This window comes from Homo sapiens, chromosome 12 (genome assembly GCF_000001405.40).
Source record: "Homo sapiens chromosome 12, GRCh38.p14 Primary Assembly".
Lineage (NCBI taxonomy): Eukaryota > Metazoa > Chordata > Mammalia > Primates > Hominidae > Homo > Homo sapiens.
Window position 1 is genome coordinate 91,928,996 of NC_000012.12, and position 24,151 is coordinate 91,953,146.

Here is a 24,151-nt window from a genome sequence, read left to right on the forward strand (position 1 = left end):
CTGAAAAGAGATCTTTACATTTGCATTATATGTTACCACTACTATAGAGTATCTTCCAAGGAGGAGACACCAAGCAACCAAGTACAGAGAATAACTTGGACAGTTGACATCAGTCAGCCTCTGTCACCTGCTATCCTAGAGCTGGTACAATGTGTTTGTAAATGTAGAACAATGACGACAGAGAAAAAGGCCCTGCACTGACCCACAATTATGGATTTCCACTTACCAAGGTTGCTGCTGAATGTCCAGCCTGTCAGCAACATTGATTAATGTTGATCCCCTTATACAGCCTCATCCATCGAAGAATCAACAATCCACTTAGTGGTATAAGTTGACTTCATTGAAGCCCTTCTACTCTGGAGGAAACAAAGATTCATTTTGAATTGCCAGTGCATATTCTGGATGTGAACTGAATTTCCTACCTACAAGACTTCAACCAGAACTACTGTTTAGGGCTTATAGTTCCAGCCACTTAATTGGATTCCCATATAACATTGCATCAAATCAATGAACCTACTTTATGACTAAGGAAATAGGGTGATGGGCAAATGCTATGAGATCCACTGGACTTATCACATATCACCCACAGGGTGAAAGACTGAGAGAGTGACATAAATGCTGAGTGGTCCAGGGGATTTGAGGAAACCTAGGATACGAGTTCAGGGGAGCCACATTTTATTTTCATAGGGTGTGGGCAACGCTATGGACATTGCTAGAAAATTCTGGTACATTCCTAAAGGCCTGGCTGGTACAGTTAATACAAATATATCAAGGACAAGGTTAACACCAAAAGACCAAGCAGAGGTAGTAGGGACCTGATAGGGATGTGTGGACCAAACACACTTCCAATGCCATGATGATTGTACATTCCTGGGATGGGGGGAGGCAGTGGGGAGGGCCAGGGCCAGGAGAACAGAGAACAGCCCTTGTAGGTAGTTTCACCTTTGAGTTAATGACCAAATTCTGGGTGGAATTAACAATTCCACTGAGTTTCAAATGTTTAAACCAGAAGAGACCATAATAGCTTTCAGTGACAAGATTAAGAGGTTTTTAACAGCAGCAAAAATGGGGGTGCCAGGGCTAAATAGAGCTCAGTAATATAAAAGGTAAAGTTATGTTAATATTTCTTCACATCTGAGCTGTGACTATTTCAAAACACTACACAGGCAAACTTTTTACATGTGGGTGCCCTAGCAAGTAACTTTCAGAATTTCCTGGGACCTGACTCAAAATTAGCCGTCATAGTCTATTCTCATCCCTTGGTGGAGGGAGGAGGAGGGAAAGAAGAATTCAACTGAAGAGGAGAAGATAAATTCACCTTACTTTAAAAGCACAAATCAGTTTTCTTTTACTTACCATTAAAATATTATTTAATGATTCACTTATAGGTACGGGCACCTTCATAAAATACTCAAAAATGCTTCAAAACTGACTCTCATACATGATTGACAAGAATGTAAGACTGCTCCATCACTGTAGAAAGCAGTTTAGCAGTGCCTCAATAAAGTTAAACACAGAATTAGCATATAACCTGGCAAGTCTACTCCTAGACATATGTCAAAAATAATTGAAAATAGGTGTGCAAACAAAACTGTTTACAATAATATTCATGGTAGCACCATTGATAATAGCGTAAGGGTAGAAACAACCCAAATGTTCATCAACAGATAAACGGATAAACAAGATGTAGTACATCCATATAACAGAATATTATTCAGCCATAAAAAGGAATGTAGTTCTGTTAAATGCTACAACACCAGTGAAGCTTGAAAACATGCTAAAAGTAAAAGAAGCAGACACAAAAGGCCACATAGTGTATGGTTTTATTTATTTGAAATATCCAGAATAGGCAAATTCATAGAGATAGATAGCAGATTTGTGATTTCCAGGGGTTAATTGGGGAAGTAGTTGGAAATGATAGCTTAAGAGGGTACAAGGTTTCTTTTTCATGCAATGAAATAGTTCTGGAACTAAATAATAATGATAGCTGCATAATATTATGAATGTTCTTAATGCTACTGAATTGTATGCTTTAAAATAATGGAACTTGTAAGTTTCATGTTATGTGTAGTTTTTCTACAATAAAAAATTATACAAAATTCAATTAATAGGCACTTTCCTTGTTCCCCAAGATCATTTTTTGTCTCTGAGAAAGTTTTCTGTAGTGTTAACTGAAATGGGTCAGTTCTTCCTTGTGGGAGGCAACCCAAGACTCTGATTGCATTGTGTAAAGTTGGTCAGCTGTTTTACAAGGCAAACACCTGGCACCAAACCCTGAGCTCTTTAAAGAACTGCTAGCTAAGCCTCTTCCCCAGGGTAAATTCAAGGAGAAGTGCTATGAGTCTGAGCTTGCCAGATTCGTGTGGGCCACACCCAGAAGTTAATAAGTTGTTCCAAACTCTACATGCCCCATCTTAATCACTAGTTCTGCTCCCAGTTTGTAGGTTCCCATAATCATGTGGCTGCTCGAATGAGAACAGCAAAAACCACTTACAATTTGGAGATGAGACAGAGTCCAGAAAGGGAAGAAAAGTCATGAAAATATAAATTTAGCTTGAGGTGTACCATGAACAGAAGGCAGAGACCTAGAATTAGGCCTTGTTCTAAATTTCAAAATTGTCAATATAGTGGTGTCTCTGAAACAGTCATTCGGGTGAGGAAAACTCTCAAGTAGGGGCTAGACTCCATTTCCATCAGTACAGGGAACTGATCAAAGAATTCAACATTTTAGGAATTTAAAACAGCAGATTCTTTGGTCTAGCTGATGACAACTGGTCAGAGCAGCTTGCCATAACTTAAAGCTGAGAAAACCAACCTGTGAGTAGCAAAGAGTAAAAACTACAGTTACCTCTACCCAAAAATAACAGTTAAAAGTACTAGCTTTTAAGTTAGAAGCAGGTCAGCAGTCAGCAGTAGAAAAGTACAAGTACTGAGAGGTAGGCAGGAGCCAGATAATATAAAACCTTCAAGTCTGAATTTTCTTCTAAGTACAATTAAGAGATACTGCAGTGTTTTAAGCAGGAAATTTTATGTCATCAAATTTATGTTAATAAAAGATCACTCCCTCTGGTTGCAGTGTAGACGATGGAAGATTGTAGGAATCTGAGAACTGAAGCAAGAATAACTGCCAGGACAAAAGCTAGATGATGGTGGCGTGGACCAAGGGTAAAATAATAGATGAAGATCTAGAGAAGTGGATGGATTCTAAATGTATTTAGGAGCAAAGTCTATGGAACATCCTGGTGGAATAGCTTGTTCTTTAAACTTCCCTCCTTCCTTGAAAGCCATCTTTAACAGCACATTTACAAATAAGAAAAAATCTAACACTTTAACATTGATGGCCCTCTAATATTATCTCTCACTGTTTCCTGTTCTATATCCAACTCTCTGTAGATATATACTTGCATATTTGGCTTTCCTTCTCTTTTTTAATCTTAAGACTTTACTTAATATATCTTTTAATTAAGGCATAATGTTTATATACATTACAATGAAGAGAGCTTAAATGTACAGTACAATGAGTTTTGACAAATGACAAATGTGTACACTCATGAAACCCAAACCATACCAAAGAGAATATTTTCAGTAACTAAAAAGTTCCCTGTCCTCCTTTCTGATCAACCCCAATGCCAACCACAAATGCTATTCTGATTTCTTTCAATGTATATTAGTTTTGGATTTTTCTGAATTCTGTACAAATACATTGATACATAATGCATCCTTTTAGTTTGGCTTCTTTAGCTAAACATAATGTTTGTAGAATCCATCCACATTTTTCACATGTCAGTGGCATGTTCCTTTTTTATTGCTGTGTAGTATCCCATCAAGTGAACATGTCACAATTTGTTTATTTAGTCTCCTGTTGATGAATACTTGAACTGTGTCCCGTTTGAGGCTACTATAAATAAAGTTGCTATGAATTTTTATGTACAAGTCTTTTTGTAGATACATGTTTTTATTTCTTTTGGATAAATATTTAGTGACAAAACTTGGGGGTCCTGCAGTATGTGTATGCTTAACTGTATAAGAGATTATCATAGCTTTCCAAAGTGGTTTTTTCATCCTACACTCCAACTATCAATGTATGAGGGTTCCTATGTTTGCCATTTTCTTTTCAATTTCGGCCATTCTAATTGGTGTGAAGTGATCCCGCATTGTGGTTTAATGTGACAACAAGTGATGTTGACCACATTTCATATACTTTTTGTCCATTTATATATCTTACTTTGTGACTTTCAGGATGTTTTCCTATTTTTATTAGATTTTGTCCTTTTATTATTGATGTGTAATGGCTATGTATTCTAGATACAAATTCCTTATCAGATGTATGTTTTGCAGAGATTTTCTCTGTTTGCATTTTACCTTTTTCATTTGTAATGTCTTATGGTGAGCAGAAATTTTTAATCTGAACAAAGTCGAATTTATCATATTTTTTCTTAATATTAGTGCTTTATGGAGTCTAAAAAGTCTTTGCTTATCCAAGTAGGCAAACTGTTGATTCTTTCTTATAGAAATTAACAGGCTGCTTCTAAGGTTACATGAAAATGCAAAAGATTTAAAATATCCAAAAATGATCTTAAAAATGAAAAGAAAATGTGGAGACAAAAGCTACTTATTTTAAGACGTACTACCAAACAACAGTAATCAAGACAGGATAAGTGCAAGGACAGACTGATAGATCAATGGAAAAAAAGAGAGTCCAGAAATAAACTCATACATATAAGGTCAACTGATTTTTGACAAGAGAGCCAAGACAATTCAACAGAGAAAGGAAAGTCTAATCAACAAGTTATTTTAGAATGACTGAATAAATACATGAAAAGAATGAATATTAACGTTTACCTCACACCACTCAGAAAAATTTATTAGAGATGAATCATGCAGCCACAGATGAAAACTAAAAATATACAACTTTTAATTTAAAAAATTATTTATCTTCACCTACATTTTTCTCCTCCCTATCATTTTCTTTGACAGATTACCCATACTTCAAAGCTGAGCTCAAATGTAGCCTTCTTCATGAAGCTTTTATGACCATGCCTGTCAGAAATAAGTGCTCCTTCTTCTAACTCTTACAACAGTTTCTTTGTGCTGTTGTAAACATTGTACTATGGTCAAGTGTGTGCATGTGTTTACATGTATACATATCACAACTGTCCTTCTAAATGCTGTGTTCCTTGACAAGGTGCTATTCTTCACTAAATCCCCTGAACCATGCAAGAGGATATACATCCAACAGACTGTGCAATGGTGTATGGTAAAACATCATCCTGCAGAGTACACCAGTACCTGCAACAGGGTCTAGGAAACCATCAATAAACAACTGATTGCAAAGTTGTAATTCCATACAGAAGTATTGAGGAAAAAAGAAGGAAAGGGAGGAAGATAAAGAGTTGCAGCTTGCTTATCGGATAGAGAGGGGAACAGTAGGATATAGAGGCAGATCAAATCCAAATGAATTTTAGTAAGTATGTCAATATACATTTACACTCTTGCTGGTAAATTTCTAGCAAGAACATATTGTCAAAATTGGACAGGACCTTTGTGTAAACAACTATAAAACCTTTATCAAAACGTAATGTGATCTCTGTAAGTTTTTCTTTTGATGCAATCTAAGAGCATTCATAAATAACACTCTCTAGAGAAATCAATTGGTAGTAAATTTGACCTTCCCCTAAATGATTTTCTACATATGTCTATTCACAGCAAACATCTATGAGACCAATATTGTGAATAATTTTATTACCATTGTCACTACTGAATATTTTGCTCTGAAAGACTCTCTTACTCTCTCTCTTTCTCTCTCTCTATATATATATGAATACACATACATTTTATAAAATGAATAATTTATATTTATTTAAAAATATATTATTACTTTGGTACTTCTTGCATTGTCTCAAGCAAGAATACAGTCAAGAAAATACTCAGGTTCATGTCTCACCCTGATTCAAAAAAGATTTTGGCATGACAAAGAAACAGCTCTAATGAGCAAGATGAAATGGGAAGACAATAATAAGTGACTTTTCTAAATTGCTCAAATTTTTAATTTTAGTTGAACAATATAATGAAGCCCATTAAAATCACAGCTTATTTGTGAGACTACATTTATAACTTTCTCAATAGACCCCTATTTATTCTCTGAAATCATACCTTTGTTTCAAAGACTGAATCATCCTGGTTGTATCGGTATCTTAGGATTGTCTCTTTTTCTTATGAAAATATATTTGCGTTCATAGGTAAGATATTTTTAAATGAACAAATAAAAATAATCTAAGAATGGCTGCTGCTTTATTGTCAAGGTACATTTATTTTACATGCAGGCTCTAAAGTACTTAGAAGAATAAAGCTATTACTGTCTTGTTATTGTTACCATCGCTACTGTTAATAAGATTCTGCAGAAACACTAGACTAAAGGGCAAGGCCATCATTAAAACTCTTGATGTGATTTCACACACTCAGCCACCTTACTGGTAACTCCCTCTTCCTCCCCCAGACTTGGTTTCTCCTTAATTTGCAGCACAACCCAAGGTTAACAGGAAGAGGTAGGCTGAGGAATTGCAGCATTCAGAAGCCAGTCTGCGTAATACAAAACAGGCCTATTTCTACTTCTCCAGGGAGATCTTTAAATATTAAAAACTTTTGTCTCTTTCTTTAGTTCTCTCTTTCTCAGGACAAAATTCTCAATTCCTTTAACTAATCTTCATCTGACATGATTTCTAAAAATGACAACCTTGGCTTCATTTTTGTAAATAATAAACAACTTTTAAAGCAAAATTTATCTTACCTTTTATTTACTTTCCACTTCATAAATTAATATATATTCTTTCTCAAAAACGTAGTGCATATATGTATAGCCTGAATCTGCAATCTGAGATACTTCTACAATTTGTAGTTATATTACAAAAAGCAAACTCTCTTCTGTGCTCCTGTTAATGAACATAATAATGTATCTTCTGAAACCAAGATAACTCTGACTTTTGAGAAGAATGTCTTTACAGATATCCTTCTGTGCCTTTAAATATTTATTTGTTATTTATATATATATATTCCTTCAATGGAAACAAATCTATTTTCTACATTGTTTAGTGTCTGCTATGGTAACTGACTGGAGAAGTTTGGAGATCAGGTGGGGGAGTGGCATGGAAGTGCACATAAAAATTGTTTAAGAATTTCTTAATAATCTGAATTTGAGAAAACTTTAGAATTTTCATCAAGTAAAATTTATATGATTTTAAAGCACAAACCTGGACCTTATGCCAGTTTCAATGCTCATTTAAATATCTTACAGGTTTCACATTGTAAGTTATAACAAAGTATGTTTTTAAAAAGGCATTCAGAGCAAGAAGTCACATGACTTAAATAGATAATGATTATTAGTCTCTTTGTTCATATATAAACTTCCAGTATTATTTTATATTAATGACAAAGGGGGAAAATCTCCTAGAAGCTGAATGAATCAGGCCAAGACTAGAGACATGATGATTTACTTCCTTATCCCTAATTCAACAGTGAGTTCATTATTTCAGTTAAGCTATAATGAGAATCTTAGTTCAGTCTAAATACTTCATAGGACCAGATACTAGAAATGCACTCAATCATAAAACACTATGTTTTAGTCTATTTAATATATTTCTACCCCGATTTAATGTTACAGTTCCCAAGACCTCATGTCCTATTTCTGAATGCTGAAAATATCTTCAACCTGATCTTGTATTTTTGCCTGAGTAAGATAATTTATTCTTAAATATGACTTGCTTCCCTCCAGTTATAAAGGACAACATTATTTTTAAAAATGGATGTAGCAAAAAGAAAAAAAATTCTCACATGTCTACAAGTTAAGTCAAGGCTATGAATTTCCCTGATGATAAACTAACTACGTGCTTGGGCATGCTATGATCTAATTTTTGAAACTCATCATATAATTAGCCACGTTGAGTGGCTTTCAGCACCGTGTCAGACTGAATGTCATGAAAAAAATGGTTTATAATTTGTGGACTTTTACTTCTAGAAGACAGTATACCTTTAAGTGAAAGAAAATGGTTTTATACAATAATAATATAAAGAAAGCCAGAAATGGAAAAGGCATATTTACTATTCCTAAGGGAGATCTTTGGTAGGCCCAGAGTAACCAAAACATGGCCTTTTTTTCCAAGGATGTCACACTCCAGTGGAGGAATGGGAATTAATAGAAATCATTATGATACAAAGCATGGTCTACGTGGCAGAAGCAATGTCTAAAGAGTGATTCATTTTGACAGGGGTAGAAGTTGAGAAAAGCTTCTCAGAAGGAAGTAACATTGAATTTGACCTCAGAGGATCAATTAAGCAGAGAGAAAGGGAAAGACTCTGAAGGCTGGGATTGGTAGTTTCAGCAAAGATGCAAATTCAGGGAAAAAAAATGTAAGGCATCATTTAAGGAGTAAAATTGTTTATTATAGGTAAAACACATGGTGACTTAGAGAACGTAAGGCCAGAAATTAGAGGAGAAAAGGGATTGAGGTGAGATGTGGAAAGGCCTTGAGTGACAGACATTGAAAACTCTATTTTACCATCAATGCTCTAGGCAGGCAAATAGCACAGTTTTGTGTTCGGCAAGGAGTTCCAGAGGCAGTGTCTGAAAGGAATTAGAATGAAGATAGATCAGAGGCTGGTAAACCAGTGAGAAGTTAGTTGCAATAGTCTAGAGAAGAGGAAAGAAGGTAAAGTAGGCTTGAACTCAGTATATGGCAGTAGGAGTAGAAAAGAATGGATGATTTAAGAGACTGTAAAAGTGTTACCAATAGGATTTGGTGACAGATGTCACAAGATTGAGGAAGAGGAGGAATCAAAGATAATCCCCAACAGTTTTCACCCTATTGACTAGATGGACGAAGATTAGTCACATTTATGCCTTTGTAACTTTGTAAAGTTCTTCTTTCTGCCCAAACTATCCATTCCTCATTCACTTTCTATAGATATCCCAGCCCTCCTTCAAACATTGAGTCACATTCCACTTCCTGTACAGCAGCTTCCCAGATCCCCTTCCCTACACTCCTTCTATTCCTAGAATTTATCACTTCTATACTTGCACAAAATATTACTTTTACTTCTGTATTCTATAATAGGTGATTACTTACATGCCTGTTTCCCCAAAAGTGTGTAAGTGCCTTGAGAAACCATCTTCCTCTCATCTTTGTATTTTTCATAATACCCAGTATGGTGATGTTCAGCAACTAACCTCTACAGCTGCTTCTATTTGTTACATTCCTGGATATTATTCATGGTTAAGGTGGTCCAAAGAGAGGCAGTATTGAGCAGTGATTCCCAAAGTGTGCTACATGTGTTAATGAACAAATATGGAAAACAATTTACAGTGTGATTTTTTTATTGGTCGCGTTTTTGTTTTAGCATGTGCTTGAACAAAGCTAGATCGCTACCTCATCAACTCATCACCCAATGGGAGTTAAGAGTGAGATATGTGAACTCAGAGTAAAACCATCTTTCCCTTAACCACCTGTGTCCACCACCAAGTATGAAATGGGGGTCTTCGATACCCAGAATTCCCTGCACTCTAAAATCCACAACCATGCCACCATTTTATGCCTGGAAACCACATTTATTGTTGTTATGTCTGTTACCTCAAGAAGCTTTAGAATCACAGGTAACCCTCACCCTCCACGTTTAACAGTCGCATAGCTCCATAATCTCTTATTTTGTCCCCATCTCCCTTCCCTCTCCAATTCCTGAAGCTCTTTACCCATAGTCCATCATCGGCAAGATCTTATATGTCCTCAGTCTCTTATCTGAATAGTTCCCTCAGCTTTTTATATAGCAGAAACTAGATTTGCTAGTTATTTTACCTTCAGCCTTCTCAGAAGGTGGCTATTTTTCTGCACTATATTCATCCTATTGGACCTAAAGGGTGGATGAGTATCCTGCCTGTTTCTTCATTAAAATTTCCAGATCGTTCTCCCTTCCATACTGTCATAACATCAGACTATCCCATCCACTACTCCCTCTTTGATATCCTGTATTAATCTCTAGACTACTGTCCATGAGATTGCTTTAAAATAATTCAACAAATACAAAAGGAGAAAATTAAAGCAAATGTGTCAAATATGGATGAGTGTAGAATCTGGGCTTATGGGGATGTATTTTGTTACTCTAATTATTTTTATATTTAAACTTTGAAAACAAAAATAAATTTTAAAACAACTACTTAATAAAAATAAAAATTACCACATGGACAGTATCAAACCCCGTACTCAATCTACTTGCAAATTCTGTTGCCTCTTAATTTAAAATACATCCAGAATACATTAATACTTACTGCCTCCACTGCTATCCCCTTAAATTAAGCTGCCTTTATCTCCTAATTAAACTCTTACAGTAGCCTTCTGGCCACTCTCCCTATGTCCACAATTTCCCCATGGCATCTATATTCTACACTAAATTAAGAATTATTTTTTCAATAGACAAGTCAGATTACATTACCCTACATTTCAAAATCTTGCTTTCCCATCTCTCACAAAGTAAAATTAAAATTCTTTACTTTGGCTATTGGGGTCCTACATGAATTTGTTCTCTTCTTTCTGTCTGTACTCAACTATTACATTTTCCTCTTTTACTCATTCTGTTCCAGCCACACTGGCCTCCCTACAAAAAAAAAAAAAAAAAAAAGCAAGTTTTAGCTTGCCTCAAGGTTCTTTGAACTTGCTCTTAGAAAATTCTTTTTGGTAGAATGACTTATTTTCCTTTGGGTATATACCCAGTAATGGAGTTGCTGGATCAAATGGTAGTTCAACTCTTAGTTCTTTGGCTCTTTGAGAAATCTTCAAACTGATTTTCACATGACTGGACTAATTTACATTCCCCCCAGTAGTGTATAAGTATTCCCCTTTCTTGACAGCCTTGCCAGTGTCTGTTGTCTTTAGACATTTATTTATTTATTTCCAACTTTTATTATAGATTCAAGGTGTACACCTGCAGGTTTGTTACAAAGATATATTGCATGTTGCTGAGGTTTGGAGTATGAATGTCTCTGTTTCCCAGGTAATAAGCATAGTACACAATAGGTAGTTTTTCAGCCCTTGCCTCTCTCCCTCACTCCCCCACCTTGTATTTCTCAGTGTCTACGACTCTCATCTTCATGTCCATGTATACTCGATGTTTAACTCCAACCAAATACATATAGTGTTTGGTTTTCTGTTTCCTGCATTAGTTAGCTTAGGATAATGGCCTCTAGCTGCATCCATGTTGCTACAAAAGGCATGTATCTATTGCCTCTAACTTTAAGTTAATGCTTACAACCTCCACTGCTACCTTCCTAAATTAAGATGCCTCTTGGTTCTTTTTTATGACTGCATAGTATTCCATGGTGTGTATGTGCCACATTTTCTTTATCAAATCCAAAGTTGATGGCCACCTGGGTTGATTGTGTCTTTGCTATTGTAAAAAAAAGAAAAAATTCTTACCCCCCAGGTAGCCACAGGACTCACTTCCTCACTCTCTGCTCAAATTTTAAACAGTCAGAGAGGCTTTCCTTGACCACTTCACGGAAAATAGCACCACTCCACCCAACTATGCACTCTCTATTCCCCTTTACCTACTTTATTTTTCTTCCCAACTCTCTTTATTATCTGGTATGTTTTATATATTTTTGTCTGTCTGTCTGTCTTGCCTGACTAGAATGTACCACCCTTGGGGGCAGAGTCACTGCTAGTTTTGTTCACTGTGGAATCTCCAACACCTAGAACGGTATATGAACATGGTTGGTGTTCAATAGATATTGAAAGAGGAGTCAAAGAGTCATAGTCCCACCTTTAACCCTGGATTTGGAAATTCAGCTTACACCCCTGAACAAAAGGAGTTCTACATTCCTCATGCCCTGAAATAATGTTACCTATCCAGGAGCAGGATGAAGAAGCCATGACTAAGTAATTCACTTACTGTTTGGGAATAAGATTGAGATACAGTATAGAAAAGATCTCAAGCTAGACAAGGGCAGTTCTCATGGGGATCTCCACCAGGTCCAGCCATCCCCCAAGCATATGATTCACTGCTGCCCCAGCAAGGAGGAACAAAGTTGGGTGTAGGCAGTGGTGGAGGGGAATACCCATGTTATCTTCCTAATAAATTTTAAAAGGCCAAGTTTCTATTTATGGGACAAGGGAGATATACTGGGAAAGGGATAGAACATTTTCTACCAAATTGAAAATAATGATGATGACTACCATAAAGAAGATGGTGTGGGTCTTTTTTCATTCCCAATTCCCTTCTAAGCCCATCAAAAACAAATTATTACACGATAATGAGCAGAAAGAACTAATTTTTTTAGCTTCTCCACCCACCAGGGTTTTCATTATTTGTATTCCATGCTCAAGAACACTGCCCACTCACCCACAGAATTGCACACAAGGAGAACTGGGTGTATTGTATTGAAGGAGATGATGTTGCTTTCTAAGAAGGGCATAGCTGTTTGTTAGGTAGAATAGTGATAGTTAGAATTTGTGGCAACATGAGTATATACTTGAGAATTTTCTAGAACTGAGCCTGGTGACCCTTGAACTTACTGATTATATAACCTTGGACAGGTTACTTAACCTCTCTCTGCTTCAATGTTTCATTCGTAAAACATATAAATAAATAATACTTCCTTCATAGAGTTATTCTGACTAGTAAATAATACATAAAACATCTCAAAATGTTCCTGGCACATAGATATAATCAATTAATTACTAATATTTAGTTTTCTGCAATCAACATTAAAATTATCCTTCATGTAACTCGAGAAGACATAACTATATATTTCTTCAATGCAAATAATGTACTTTTTTTCCCTTGGAGTAATGGTAAATAGAAAGTGTATTTTGCACTTGTTAATACAGGGGTTCTGATATAACCAACGGAAAATGGCCATGTTCTTATATTCCTCATTAAAAAATAAAATTGCTTTAACCCGTATAATCCTTTCTCCTGATAACTCTTTGCTAGTTATCCAATGATGAAAGACTGAGACTGTTGCTATAACACAAGTTTTCATTAAAGATTTCCTTCACATTCTCTTATAATGAAGACATTAGATAATACACTTGTGCAGGGAAGAGATGTAAGACAGTAGCTGAAATCAATGCACAAGCCCAATCTGCAACTGAGCTATTTGGCAAAGATGGCTTTATTTTGGCAATTTGTGAAAAAAGAGCAACAAGACATTAGATGCTAGGATACCACTTACCAGTTCCAGAATTCTACTATAGGATCAGTCCTATTCAACATTTTCTCCAAATGATTTGAATAAAAACTAAGAGGGCACACATATCTAATCTGCCAGTACTGGAAAGAATGGCAAGATGATGAATAGCACTGATGGTCAAGTGGAAAATTAAAAAGAGAAGAACAGCCTGGAATGCTGGACTAAAACTAGCTGTAAGAAAAGATAAACCGAAAATGGTGTTCATAAAAATATAGAGCAATGTAAATAGCAAAATTCCATACAGTGGCTGATCGGCTGATCATTTACTCAGGTCCTTTGCTGAGACATGCAGATATTAAAAAAATGAAAAATATTTTATCCCAGTTTCTCATAATACTCAGTCCACTTGAGGAGAGAGAGCTATAAAAAGAAAAGTGCAGTGATGGGCCATTTATACAGTACAGAGAAGCAAGCAGCATTTAACTCATCTAATGAAGAGTGACGGGGGGAAGAAGATGTACCAGTGAAGTAGACATCTGAGCTGAAAGGGTTTTATTCTGGCTAAAGGGCACAACATGAGAAAGACACACAGGTGAAAACTAGTAGAGTGTACACAGAAATCTCTGAGTGCTAAAAGGCAGAGCAGAAAATGGTGACAGATGATATTAGAGAAGCCGTGAAAATACATAGTCATATTAGGGAGCAGGACCTCAAATAATCCCATGTTACTTTGGGTTCTCCAGGGTTTAAAAGCCAAAAGAAAAGGAAAAGAAGTTTATGGAGAAAAAGGAAAAAATGAAAGAAAGAGTGGTTAGAGGGACATGGGACAAACTCTGAGAGTTCTGGGTCTTGGAAGCCATGGAAATAGAGTTTCAAGAAAGATGTAATTTACAGTATTAAATGTAACTCAGAGGTCCATTAAGACGAGAATTTTAAAATGACCTGTGAATTTCACAGTCAAACCAATTGTTAGACTCAGTAGGTGCAGTGCCAGTAAAGTGGTTCAGATGGAAGCCAAATTAAAGTATATTTTAAAAACTAAATCAGAAAAGAGAAGAAAGCATGCATTTCTTCGAGAACTTGGTAATGAAAGGACAGAGATAAGGTAGTAGCTACCAGAGAGAACCTGTTTCATTTGTAATGGAAGAGATTTGAGACAGTTTAGAGGCACAGAGGGCAGAGTCAGTAAGAGAGAAGAGCAAAAGAAGAATAAGACAAGCTTCCAAGAAGAAAGAAAAGAATGGATTCCATGGGTAGAAAAGTGAGTTTTGATAAAAAGAGGGTCATCTCAACTTAAAAAAAAAAATGGAGAGAAAATGGAGGATGACTGTGGCTAAGTAATTGGTTAAAGGTGTGTGGGAAGTTAAAGGTGACCAATTTTCTCAATGATATCTTATTGTCACAGTGGGAATCCTATATTTTTTCTTGCTTAAAACCATATTAATAGGAGATTCCGGATTCTTGACTTGACAATATAACATGTGAAAAAGATCCTAGGAGACAACAAGCTGATAGAGGTATTAGGAAAATAATGGTGGTCCCAATCTACTTCCATAGAGATAGACATCCAGACCACATGACAATGATATGTTCAGTTTTGAAAGGCCACATTAAAAAAAAGACTCTGTGAAATAAGATATTGTTCAGAAAAAAGGACATCGAATGATCATAATCCTTTAAAACCACTCAATGAAAAACAGTTGAAGGAGGTTGGTATTGTTTACCTTAAGAAAGGAAAATTTAGAAAGCAATCTATCATAGGTATTGGGAGAATATTCACTCTAAGGTGCTTTATGTAGCAAAATTTGGATATGACAAAGAGGTAGGTCTTATTTTAAGAGAATAAAATACTCATTTAGAGGACTGTGCAACTCTCCATTGCGGAAAGTGTTTAAGAGGTTCAATAACTTAAACGCAGGAGGGTTGCAGCAAGGACTCCTGCATTTGGAAAATGTTGGTTATCTTCCAACTTTAAGTTTCCATAAGTCTTTCTTTGAAATTGTTTACCCATTTTTTAGAGGTTATGGGATAAGATATGGAACACATTAGTGGTAGTATCTAATGGGATGTTGAACACATTGAAACAGGAGAGCATTTAAAATCACAGTGTTTAAAGTTTGCACTATAGGGATTTGGCACTGAATTTTACAACTTGGTTTAACTGCATAAGTCACTAAAAAGATAATTCACTGTTTCAAAGCAGTGAATTACAATTCATAGTAATGAAGTTTGAAGAGGATAACTAGCAGCTTGCAGGATCTGGAACTTGACAAAATTATAAAGTGGCCATTGGCAAGATCCACATAACATGTGGGGAGCAGGGAGAGTAGAGGTGTGTACATGTGTGTAGAGATAAACCAAGAGGGGTGAAAGAATAAGCAAATATATCATCAAGCATCCAAGCAACCAAGTTTACTAGAGAGGAAAGGATAAGGAGATGGAGTTGGTAGGACACTAAAGGACCCCCACCAGGCAGCCAGGAAATAATGGTCCATGAGTATCAAAATCTTATGTGAGAGTTGCTGAGTTGTCAGCAGGTGTCTTCCACCAACCAATTAGGTGGTCAATTGTTTCTGAGCCTAACTTAAGTGAAAAAGGGGGAGTTCATCATAGAGATATCAGGGTATCCTTAAAAAACTGGGCTTTAAAAGGGAACTGAAACCAAGAACTGAAATACAATTGAGACAATATCTCTCCTTTGAGCATCTACTTTTTTCTCAATCCCTCTGGCCTCTGTCTTTTAGTCTACATGGGACCCAAATGCTATAATTTAGTCCCAGATTCAAATCTTCCTCCAAGAACTATATTTATCAGCCTAATCTCTGTCGGGAACTTATTCTTGATCCAATAGACTATGACCAGAAAGGGAAGGCCCCATGGAATTAAACAGCTGCCAGGAATACTTTGCTGGTACATCATGGATGGGGTTATGGGGAGGCTATTTATAGAGAGTTGGAACTGAACAAAGAACAAAATATATACTCACCAAATATATACCAACAAGCTTCTGATATACCAACATAACTTCCATAAATCCTTAGATTCCTCCAAACAACAGAAGGCAACAAGAACCATGAGAGTGGCCAACTATAAGACGTGTTTCTCCAGATTAGACAGATGATATTCATAAATGCTGAAAGTCAATAACATAGAGCAATTACTTGTGTGGACTTTGCAGTTAGAACCTGTCTTCAAATTGTGGCTCTGCTAAGCACCAGTTGTGCGACTTGGTCTATTAGTTAATTTTTCTGTGCCATTTTTTTTCGTCTGTGAACAAGACCCATGTTAGCACACACCTCTTGAGTGCGTAAATAAAAGTAAATGGGATAACACACTTGAAGTATTTAGCACTGTGTGTGACACAGAGTGAGTGTTTCCAAAATGTTGCCCTGAGTCTCCTGCAAACATTTTAGATGACAACCCAAGGAAAGCAAGGTGAAAATCTGTTGTATTGCTTCACCTTTTGTCTCAATAACAGTGGAAGACCTAGTCCCTTTTAATCTTACCACACTCGCAAACCAGTCAACTCTAAACCATCCTGATGTTTTAGCTTTGAGGGAGGCTTTTAACAGCAGGTAAATTTCAAGCGTGGCAGCAACCTTTCTTTTTGGTGGCTGTTCCCTAGACCTCCATGGTCTTCTTGAAGGAGTGGCCACCTAAGAGTCCTCAAGTCTCATTTCAGAGACAATGGGTGGTAGTGGGAAAAGTTTCATCCCAGCTGACGTAATGTTGATTAACCAGGTAATTCACAGGCAATTAATACTGGAGGGTTTTTTTGGAGGAGGAAAAGGGGGATATCATTTTTTGATCCACTCTTGTTCATTACTTATGCAAATTGAAGGCAGAGGATAGGCCAGTGAGGAAGAGATATTTTAGGGCCAATGGGTATCTTAGGTCCTTGAATATCATAGAATAGCAATGCCTGACATTTGTATAACACTTTAGGATAGTGGTTCTTAATCTTTGGCAAGCACAGGAATCACCTGAAGTGGTAGCTAAAACACAGATTGCTGAGCCCCATACCTAGAGTTTCTGATTTATCAGGTTTGGGAGTGGGGCCCAAGAATTTGCTTTCCCAGCAGGTTCCCAGGCGGTGCCCATGCTGCTGGCCTAGGAACCACATCTTGGAACTCATAGATTTAGCGTTTGCAGAGCATTTTCCCAGGTGTTATCCCATTTAATCCTGACCATAATTTTGCAGGGAGGCCTTATTATCTTCATTTTCAGGGGAGGAAGCAAAGGAATAGAGCTCCATGCTTTTCCTCTCCCCGCTAGCTTTCTGAAGCAGTGCTAACAACCTATATTTGTCATGACTTGATGAAAATAGTTAATGGCACATCACTAATTCAATTTGTAATAATGGCAGCTGATGAAAATGTTGTTACACTCTTGAAGAACAAGGGCTGTTATGTTTTTATACTGCAAAGAGTGGGTACTCAAAACTTTTTTGCTGATTTTCTTTTTACTTTTATCATGTCATCTCACCCATAAAGTCTCTAAATACCTAAGTCTCAAAGTGGAAGGATGTCTTGGTGCTGAACATAAGTATCCAAAACTCAAGTATCCAGGATGCAAATGCTACAAACTTGAAGAGAACCTTGGGAGAGCTGCATTAATAGATTAACTAAATTTCCTACAGTTATGCTGGCTTTTTTTCCCAAGTACTTTTCACCTATACTGTGTACCAGGAGCAATGATTCTGATGAAACATTATTAAGGTTGTCTGAATGCGAGTAAGTTTCTGTGTGTATTTCCTTTTGCAAAACCAACTTCTTTTTCTGCTCCTTTATAAGTCTCAGCAAACCATTATTAAATAATGGTCAAGATGTGCGGGCTATTTTACAGACTATTTTCTGATTTAATATTAGACCTGATTTTTAGTCTTTTTATATAAAACACTAAGCTTCATTGTTGAATTGTATAACCACATAGTTTAAAATGGTAGACATTATGATTCTGAAAACTGAAACATTATTTTTGAAGAAATGGGAGTAAGGAAAAGAGCTTCAGGGGGTCTTTGAACTTACATTTCTATGGTTTCAGATTTCAGATTCAATTATTCCTAACTTAATAATAATTTAACCAAGGGTATAACTGTATTATCAAGAAGTTTTCATATAAACAAATAAAACTTTTTAAGAATACATGACATGTAAATAATTATAAAAAACAACCAAAGACTATGTTCTAAGGGGTTTATGGCCCATAAAAGTTTCTATGTGTTAATGAAGGTTGAATCTGTAAACCTTCATTCAACAAACATTTATTTTGCACCTATGATGTGCTAGGCACTATACTAGCACCAACTCAGTACACCATACCAAGAGGCTGACTATAGCTGAACAACCATACTGAAACCTGATATGAATCAGCACAGTTTAGTGTAACCGTATTCTTGGTCCTGCTGTGGCTAAGGCCATTCTGATTGACGGAGCTATGGAAAGCCCATTTTTCTAAGTACTTACGTAATAAAACAGGGCTGTTGAGGGGCTGGGAGGAAGTAGGGATGAAAAGGAAACATCTAGTGTACAATTACTGTGAATCAAACACTTGCATTTCCTCATTTACTTTTCACAATGACCTTGAAGTAGGCTTCAGTAACTCCCTATTACGCATGAAAACACTAAGAATCGAAGACTTCAAGCAGTGAACTTCAGACACACCACTAGGAAATGAGAGAGCCAGGTTTTAACCCCATTTCACCCTCAAATCATGGACCTGGCCTTTGGACTGCTACCCAGAGCAAGTGGTTACATGTAAATGTTTTAATATACTCCATAGGACCATCGTCTACATCTATCTACCCCATCCGTGGACCTGCCCTTTTCTGCCATACACCCCTGTCACCTTCTACTCTCCTAGGTTGGCCTGTCACACTCTTGAAATTTAAGGAAAGCAAGCATGTGATCTATGAAGCTACAGAAGCCATCAATGACTGATAAAGTATTAATGGCTGATCACTCTGGTTTACTTCACCAGTAAAGCAATTGACAGCTGTCCATTAGATCTAAAGAAATGAACGTCTAATACCGGAATTTCAGAAATTCTTAACAAGCCAATGGCGTAAAGGTTTTAGTGAAGAAGGCCTTTTAGAACCCTTAACATCATACCTCATTAAAAGATTTTACTATAGTTGTAAGCAACAAAAGTAGATTTTTTAAAAGTATTTTTAGTATTATCTCAATTATGAAAAGGACAAAAATAGAGGCCAAAAGGCCTGTAGAATATATATCAGAATATTACTGCAATAAGAGTATAAGTGACTTTTCTCCCCACTTCTTTATGTTTTTCTATATTTTCCCTTTTTTTTTTTCCTTTTAACATAAGCATGTATTACCTTGGCCATCAGGGAAAGAAAATTAAAAGCAAGGAAAAAATATTCCCACAAGGCAAGTGTCCATTCTAGCACCAGGAAAGGCAGCTTGGAGGGAAATGCCGTGGATGTACTGTGCCCACAGAGATAAAGCCTTACACAGCCAGGAATATTTTGAAGCAAGCACTGCTGGCAGAAACATTGAGGTTTTCAACTGCATGCGGCCTTCCTGGGGACAGATGATAACATCCTGTTCTGAGTTATGGGTACATGTTGCTGAATACAAGGTCGCAGTATTCTAATCTCTTCCTCTTTTTTTCTCCCATAGTAAACAAGACTGAAGCCCATTTGAAGCCATGAATAAAAAACAGAATCAGTTGCTAAACCCTGCAGCCTTGAACCTGTACCCATTATGGGACCTGAATTCCTATATGGACACAAAGAGTATGAAAATTCCAAGCCCAGAACTTGAGCAAACACTGAAATGAGGCTCTTGCCTTTCCCAGGGCTCCACAGAGGTACTCAAGATTTCTATTTGGCCCTTTAATATCTGCTTAGCCTTTCTTTTTAACATAATTTATTGTTTGTACATTATTTTCTATTTTTTCTTAATTTCCCTGAATATTTAAACACACTCATTTTAAGATTACATTCTTTTTATACTAATCTGAAGTTCCTTGGATGTAGACAGAAAGTCTACACCACTCAGAACACACATAGTAACATTATCCATTCCAAAATGTGCTCACGAAAAGTATCTATGATGCCAAAAGGAAACCAAATGAGAGAAAATCAGAAGAAAAGGAAAGGGAACAAATTGGCTGTGCGCGGTGGCTCAAGCCTGTAATCCCAGCAAGTTGGGAGGCAAAGGCATGTGGATCACGAGGTCAGGAGATTGAGACCATCCTGGCTAACATGGTGAAACCCCATCTCTACTAAAAATACAAAAAATTAGCCGAGCGTGGTGGCGGGCGCCTGTAGTCCCAGCTACTCAGGAGGCTGAGGCAGGAGAATGGCATGAACCCGGGAGGCGCAGCTTGCAGTGAGCCAAGATCTCGCCACTGCACTCCAGCCTGGGTGACACAGCGAGACTCCATCTCAAAAAAAGAAAAGAAAAGAAAAAAAAAACAGAAAAGAAAAGGGAACAAATTACATCCAAGGAAACTCAGATTACTACAAAGAAAATGCAATTTTAAAAAGAGTATGTTTAAACAGTCAAGAAGATAAAGTAGAAGATGCCCAAAGTATAGGCATCTTTATGACTCACAGGCCCTCATGAAAGAACTACCAGAGGATACACACTGGCAAGAAACAAAATGAATCCCATAAGCAAAGGGAACTAAAAGCAATTATGAGCAAATAAATGAATCTAAAGGAAACATGTTGACCTTTCACATTATACAGATATTACAGAAGTATTCAATAATATATGGTATTATAGAAGTCTCTGTGCTTTTCTATAATGTAATTATCTTCCTCAATTTTTTAAAAAAGCAATAAAAATAGCAACAGTTAACATTTATAGTTGTTTACCATGTTTCAGGCACTGTACTAAGATTTTATGATGGTTTATCTCATTTATTTCCCGCAACAACCTTGCAAGACATATCTACTTGTTATTCTCATTTTATAGATGTCACAACTGAGGTATAGAGCAGTCATTTTTTTCAAGATCATATAGATAGCAAACAATAAAAATGAATCTGTGCGACCTAGGGAAAGTCAAAATGCAATTTCCTCATCTGTGAAACAAATATATGGATAGTTGCTCTGACCATATTCTAAGGTTATGTGAAGTTGAAATAATACTAATACATGTTAACGTGCTTTAGAAATTGCACTGTACAACTTGAAGTTATAATAAAAATAGAATGTGTGCCAAATTTTAAGAAGGACATTTTGCCACTAGTTAATAGATGATGACATATTTTTATTCATCCATTCAAAATATTCTTTTAATATGGCTTCAGTAGCTAAATATAATTTTGAGGTTATAAAGTAGTAGTGCATTTTTCAGTTTGCTTGCTTGTTTATTTCTGGCTCATTTTGCTCCAGAAAAAAATTTCAGGCAGCTAACAAAGGGTATACAATAATAATTAATAATAATAATAATATTATAAAAGGACTCATCTTGTTTTTTATTTTTAAAATACAACTTAGATTTTATTTCTGAATATACACACTTTTCAAAAGCAACTTGTTATTAATTTAAAACGTAACTTTGCTCCATATGTCCTCTGTCACCACCCGTACTCCGACACACAAATTTAAGCAGCAGGAAAAGTTCATATTGTCTCTTTTAAAACATGAAACTTGCTAATTTTCATACTGCTGTGGCATGGTTCAAGCTAATGATGTCATAATGTGATATTAAAGTAGTAACTACTGGCCAGGCACGGGGGCTCACGCCTGTAATCCCAGCACTTTGGGAGGCCGAGGTGGGCAGATTACCTGAAGTCAGGAGTTCAAGACCAGCCTGGCCAACATGGCGAAACCCCATCTCTACTAAAAATACAAAAATTAGCCGGACGTGATGGCGCACGTCTGTAACCCCAGCTACTCAGGAGGCTGAGGCAGGAGAATCACTTGAGCCCTGGAGGTGGAGGCTGTAGTGAGCCAAGATTGCACCACTGCACTCCAGCCTGGGCAACTGAGCAAGACTCTGTGTCTCAAAGTAAATAAATAAATAAATAAATAAATAAATAAATAAATAAATAAATAAAATAAAGTGGTAGCTCCTGCAGTTATAACAGCCTAATTGGGCAGCTGACATCACAATAGTATTGCTAAAATGTTGGATTTTACTCGATTTCCATAAGAAAATGGAATCTGACACTCATTGCATGCTAATCATTGCAATTTAGTATGTCCCTTATTTATTTTGGATAAGCATTTCATTCTCAAATAAAGAATTAAGTGAGAAAAATGAGCTAAAATTCGATAGAGACACTGGTTGGCAGCCATTTCTTTTGGCTCCCATAATACAGAATTTTTAAGCCTATAGAAAATGAGAACAGATGTAGATAATGACACAATTTGTTATTTATGAATGCAGGTTTTCTCTGAAGATTTAGGAATTATCATGAGAACTATTCACTGAACCTCAAAAAAATCAATAAATATTAATATCAGAATGCAAATGTTTTTACTATAATTTAAAACATGAAGAATATTTACCCATTTTGCTTTTGAAAACTCCAGGCCAGCCTGAATACTTATTAACTGTGTGTCATCAGATGATTCAGAGAGCTTCTCTGAACTACTTGAAATTCTCAAGCAAGGCAATAAGAACACATCCTCAATAAAGAAAAGCTTGTGCATTGTTCTGTCTAAATTTCCACTGGCTCTCATAGCTTAGCAAAAAAAAGGACTGAATATGTCATCAAGAAACCTGGGCTCTGGCTAAGTGCAGTGTAATTCCTGTAATGTCTGTAATTCCGGCACTTCGGGAGGTTGAGGCGGGCGGATCACTTGATGTCGGGAGTTCAAGACCAGCCTGGCCAACATGGTGAAACCCTGTCTCTACTAAACATACAAATATTACCCAGGTGTGGTAGCAGGCACCTATAATCCCAGTTGCTGGAGAGGCCGGGGTGGGAGAAGTGCTTGAGCCTTGGAGGCAGAGGTTGCAGTGAGCTGAGATTGTGCCGCTGCTCTCCAGCCTGGGTGGCCAAGTGAGACTCTGTCTTAAAGAAAAGAAAAAAAAAAAAAAGGGAGAATCTGTCTTTAAAAAAAAGGAACCTGGGATCAAATATTAGCCTTACCACTTAATAGCCCTTTGTGATTTCAGGTAAGTTCCTTAAACATGAGTTACATTTTCCACATCTATAAAACGACAATAATGATACCTCCTGCAAAGGGTTATTTGAAGATAAAATGAGAACAGAACCTTGTATACAGTTAATTATATCTAATTTAGAAGTGAGAATATTCAACAAAATTATTAATTAACCTTTGGGAATTCTATTTTGACTAATATGAAGCTGATGACACCTATCTGATGGAAATTAAATGACAAGACATATGTACATATTGTCCTCAAGTTACCAGTTACGATAGTTTGTATGGGACCTTCCTTTCACTTAAACACTTAGAGAACATTGTAGGTTTATTAATTGGCCTAATTTCCATATTGTTGTGTCTCAGGTAATAGAGAGGCCCAACACAGTTGTATGGGACCTGACTAGAAGCATATATATATATATATATATATATATATATATGTATATATATGTATATATATGCAAATCTGTTATGACAAATTGGTTCAATCTTTAATATCATGAGTTCAGAGCAATGAATTGGGTCACTAAATTTATTTAATCATTAAAAGTCTATTGCTTTTGTTGTAAGACTACTGTTTGGGACCATTCTAAGAGAAATGCAATAAAGAATTGACTTAATGAAAAATCATCCAGCTAACACACTATGCAAACATCAAAGAGCAGAGAGACTTGTTCCAAAGCTTCTTGGCAATCATTTATTCCTATCCTCTACTGAATCCAAGATGTCCTGTGTGGTGCCTCAGGCAGCTCCAGGCAATAGGGAGAGGGAAAGTTTAGCTCCTGCTCCACTTCTTTACCTTGATTCCACCAGCACTGCCTTTACAACTTTCAAACACTGACCTTTTGTCTAAGATTACATTTGCACAAAGGGTTTGGTTA

The 24,151-nt window shown here is 36.5% G+C and overlaps 1 long non-coding RNA gene across 1 annotated transcript in view; it reads right to left on the reverse strand.

Annotated features, from left to right (window-relative positions):
* The window catches only part of LOC105369901 (uncharacterized), a 53,084-nt gene that overhangs the window by 12,702 nt on the left and 16,231 nt on the right, over positions 1-24,151 (reverse strand). The window contains exons 4-5 of the long non-coding RNA XR_007063580.1: positions 16,161-16,307; positions 227-356 (exon numbers count right to left, since the gene is read on the reverse strand). This is a non-coding gene — a long non-coding RNA (uncharacterized LOC105369901). The remainder of the gene's footprint in view (positions 1-226; positions 357-16,160; positions 16,308-24,151) is intronic.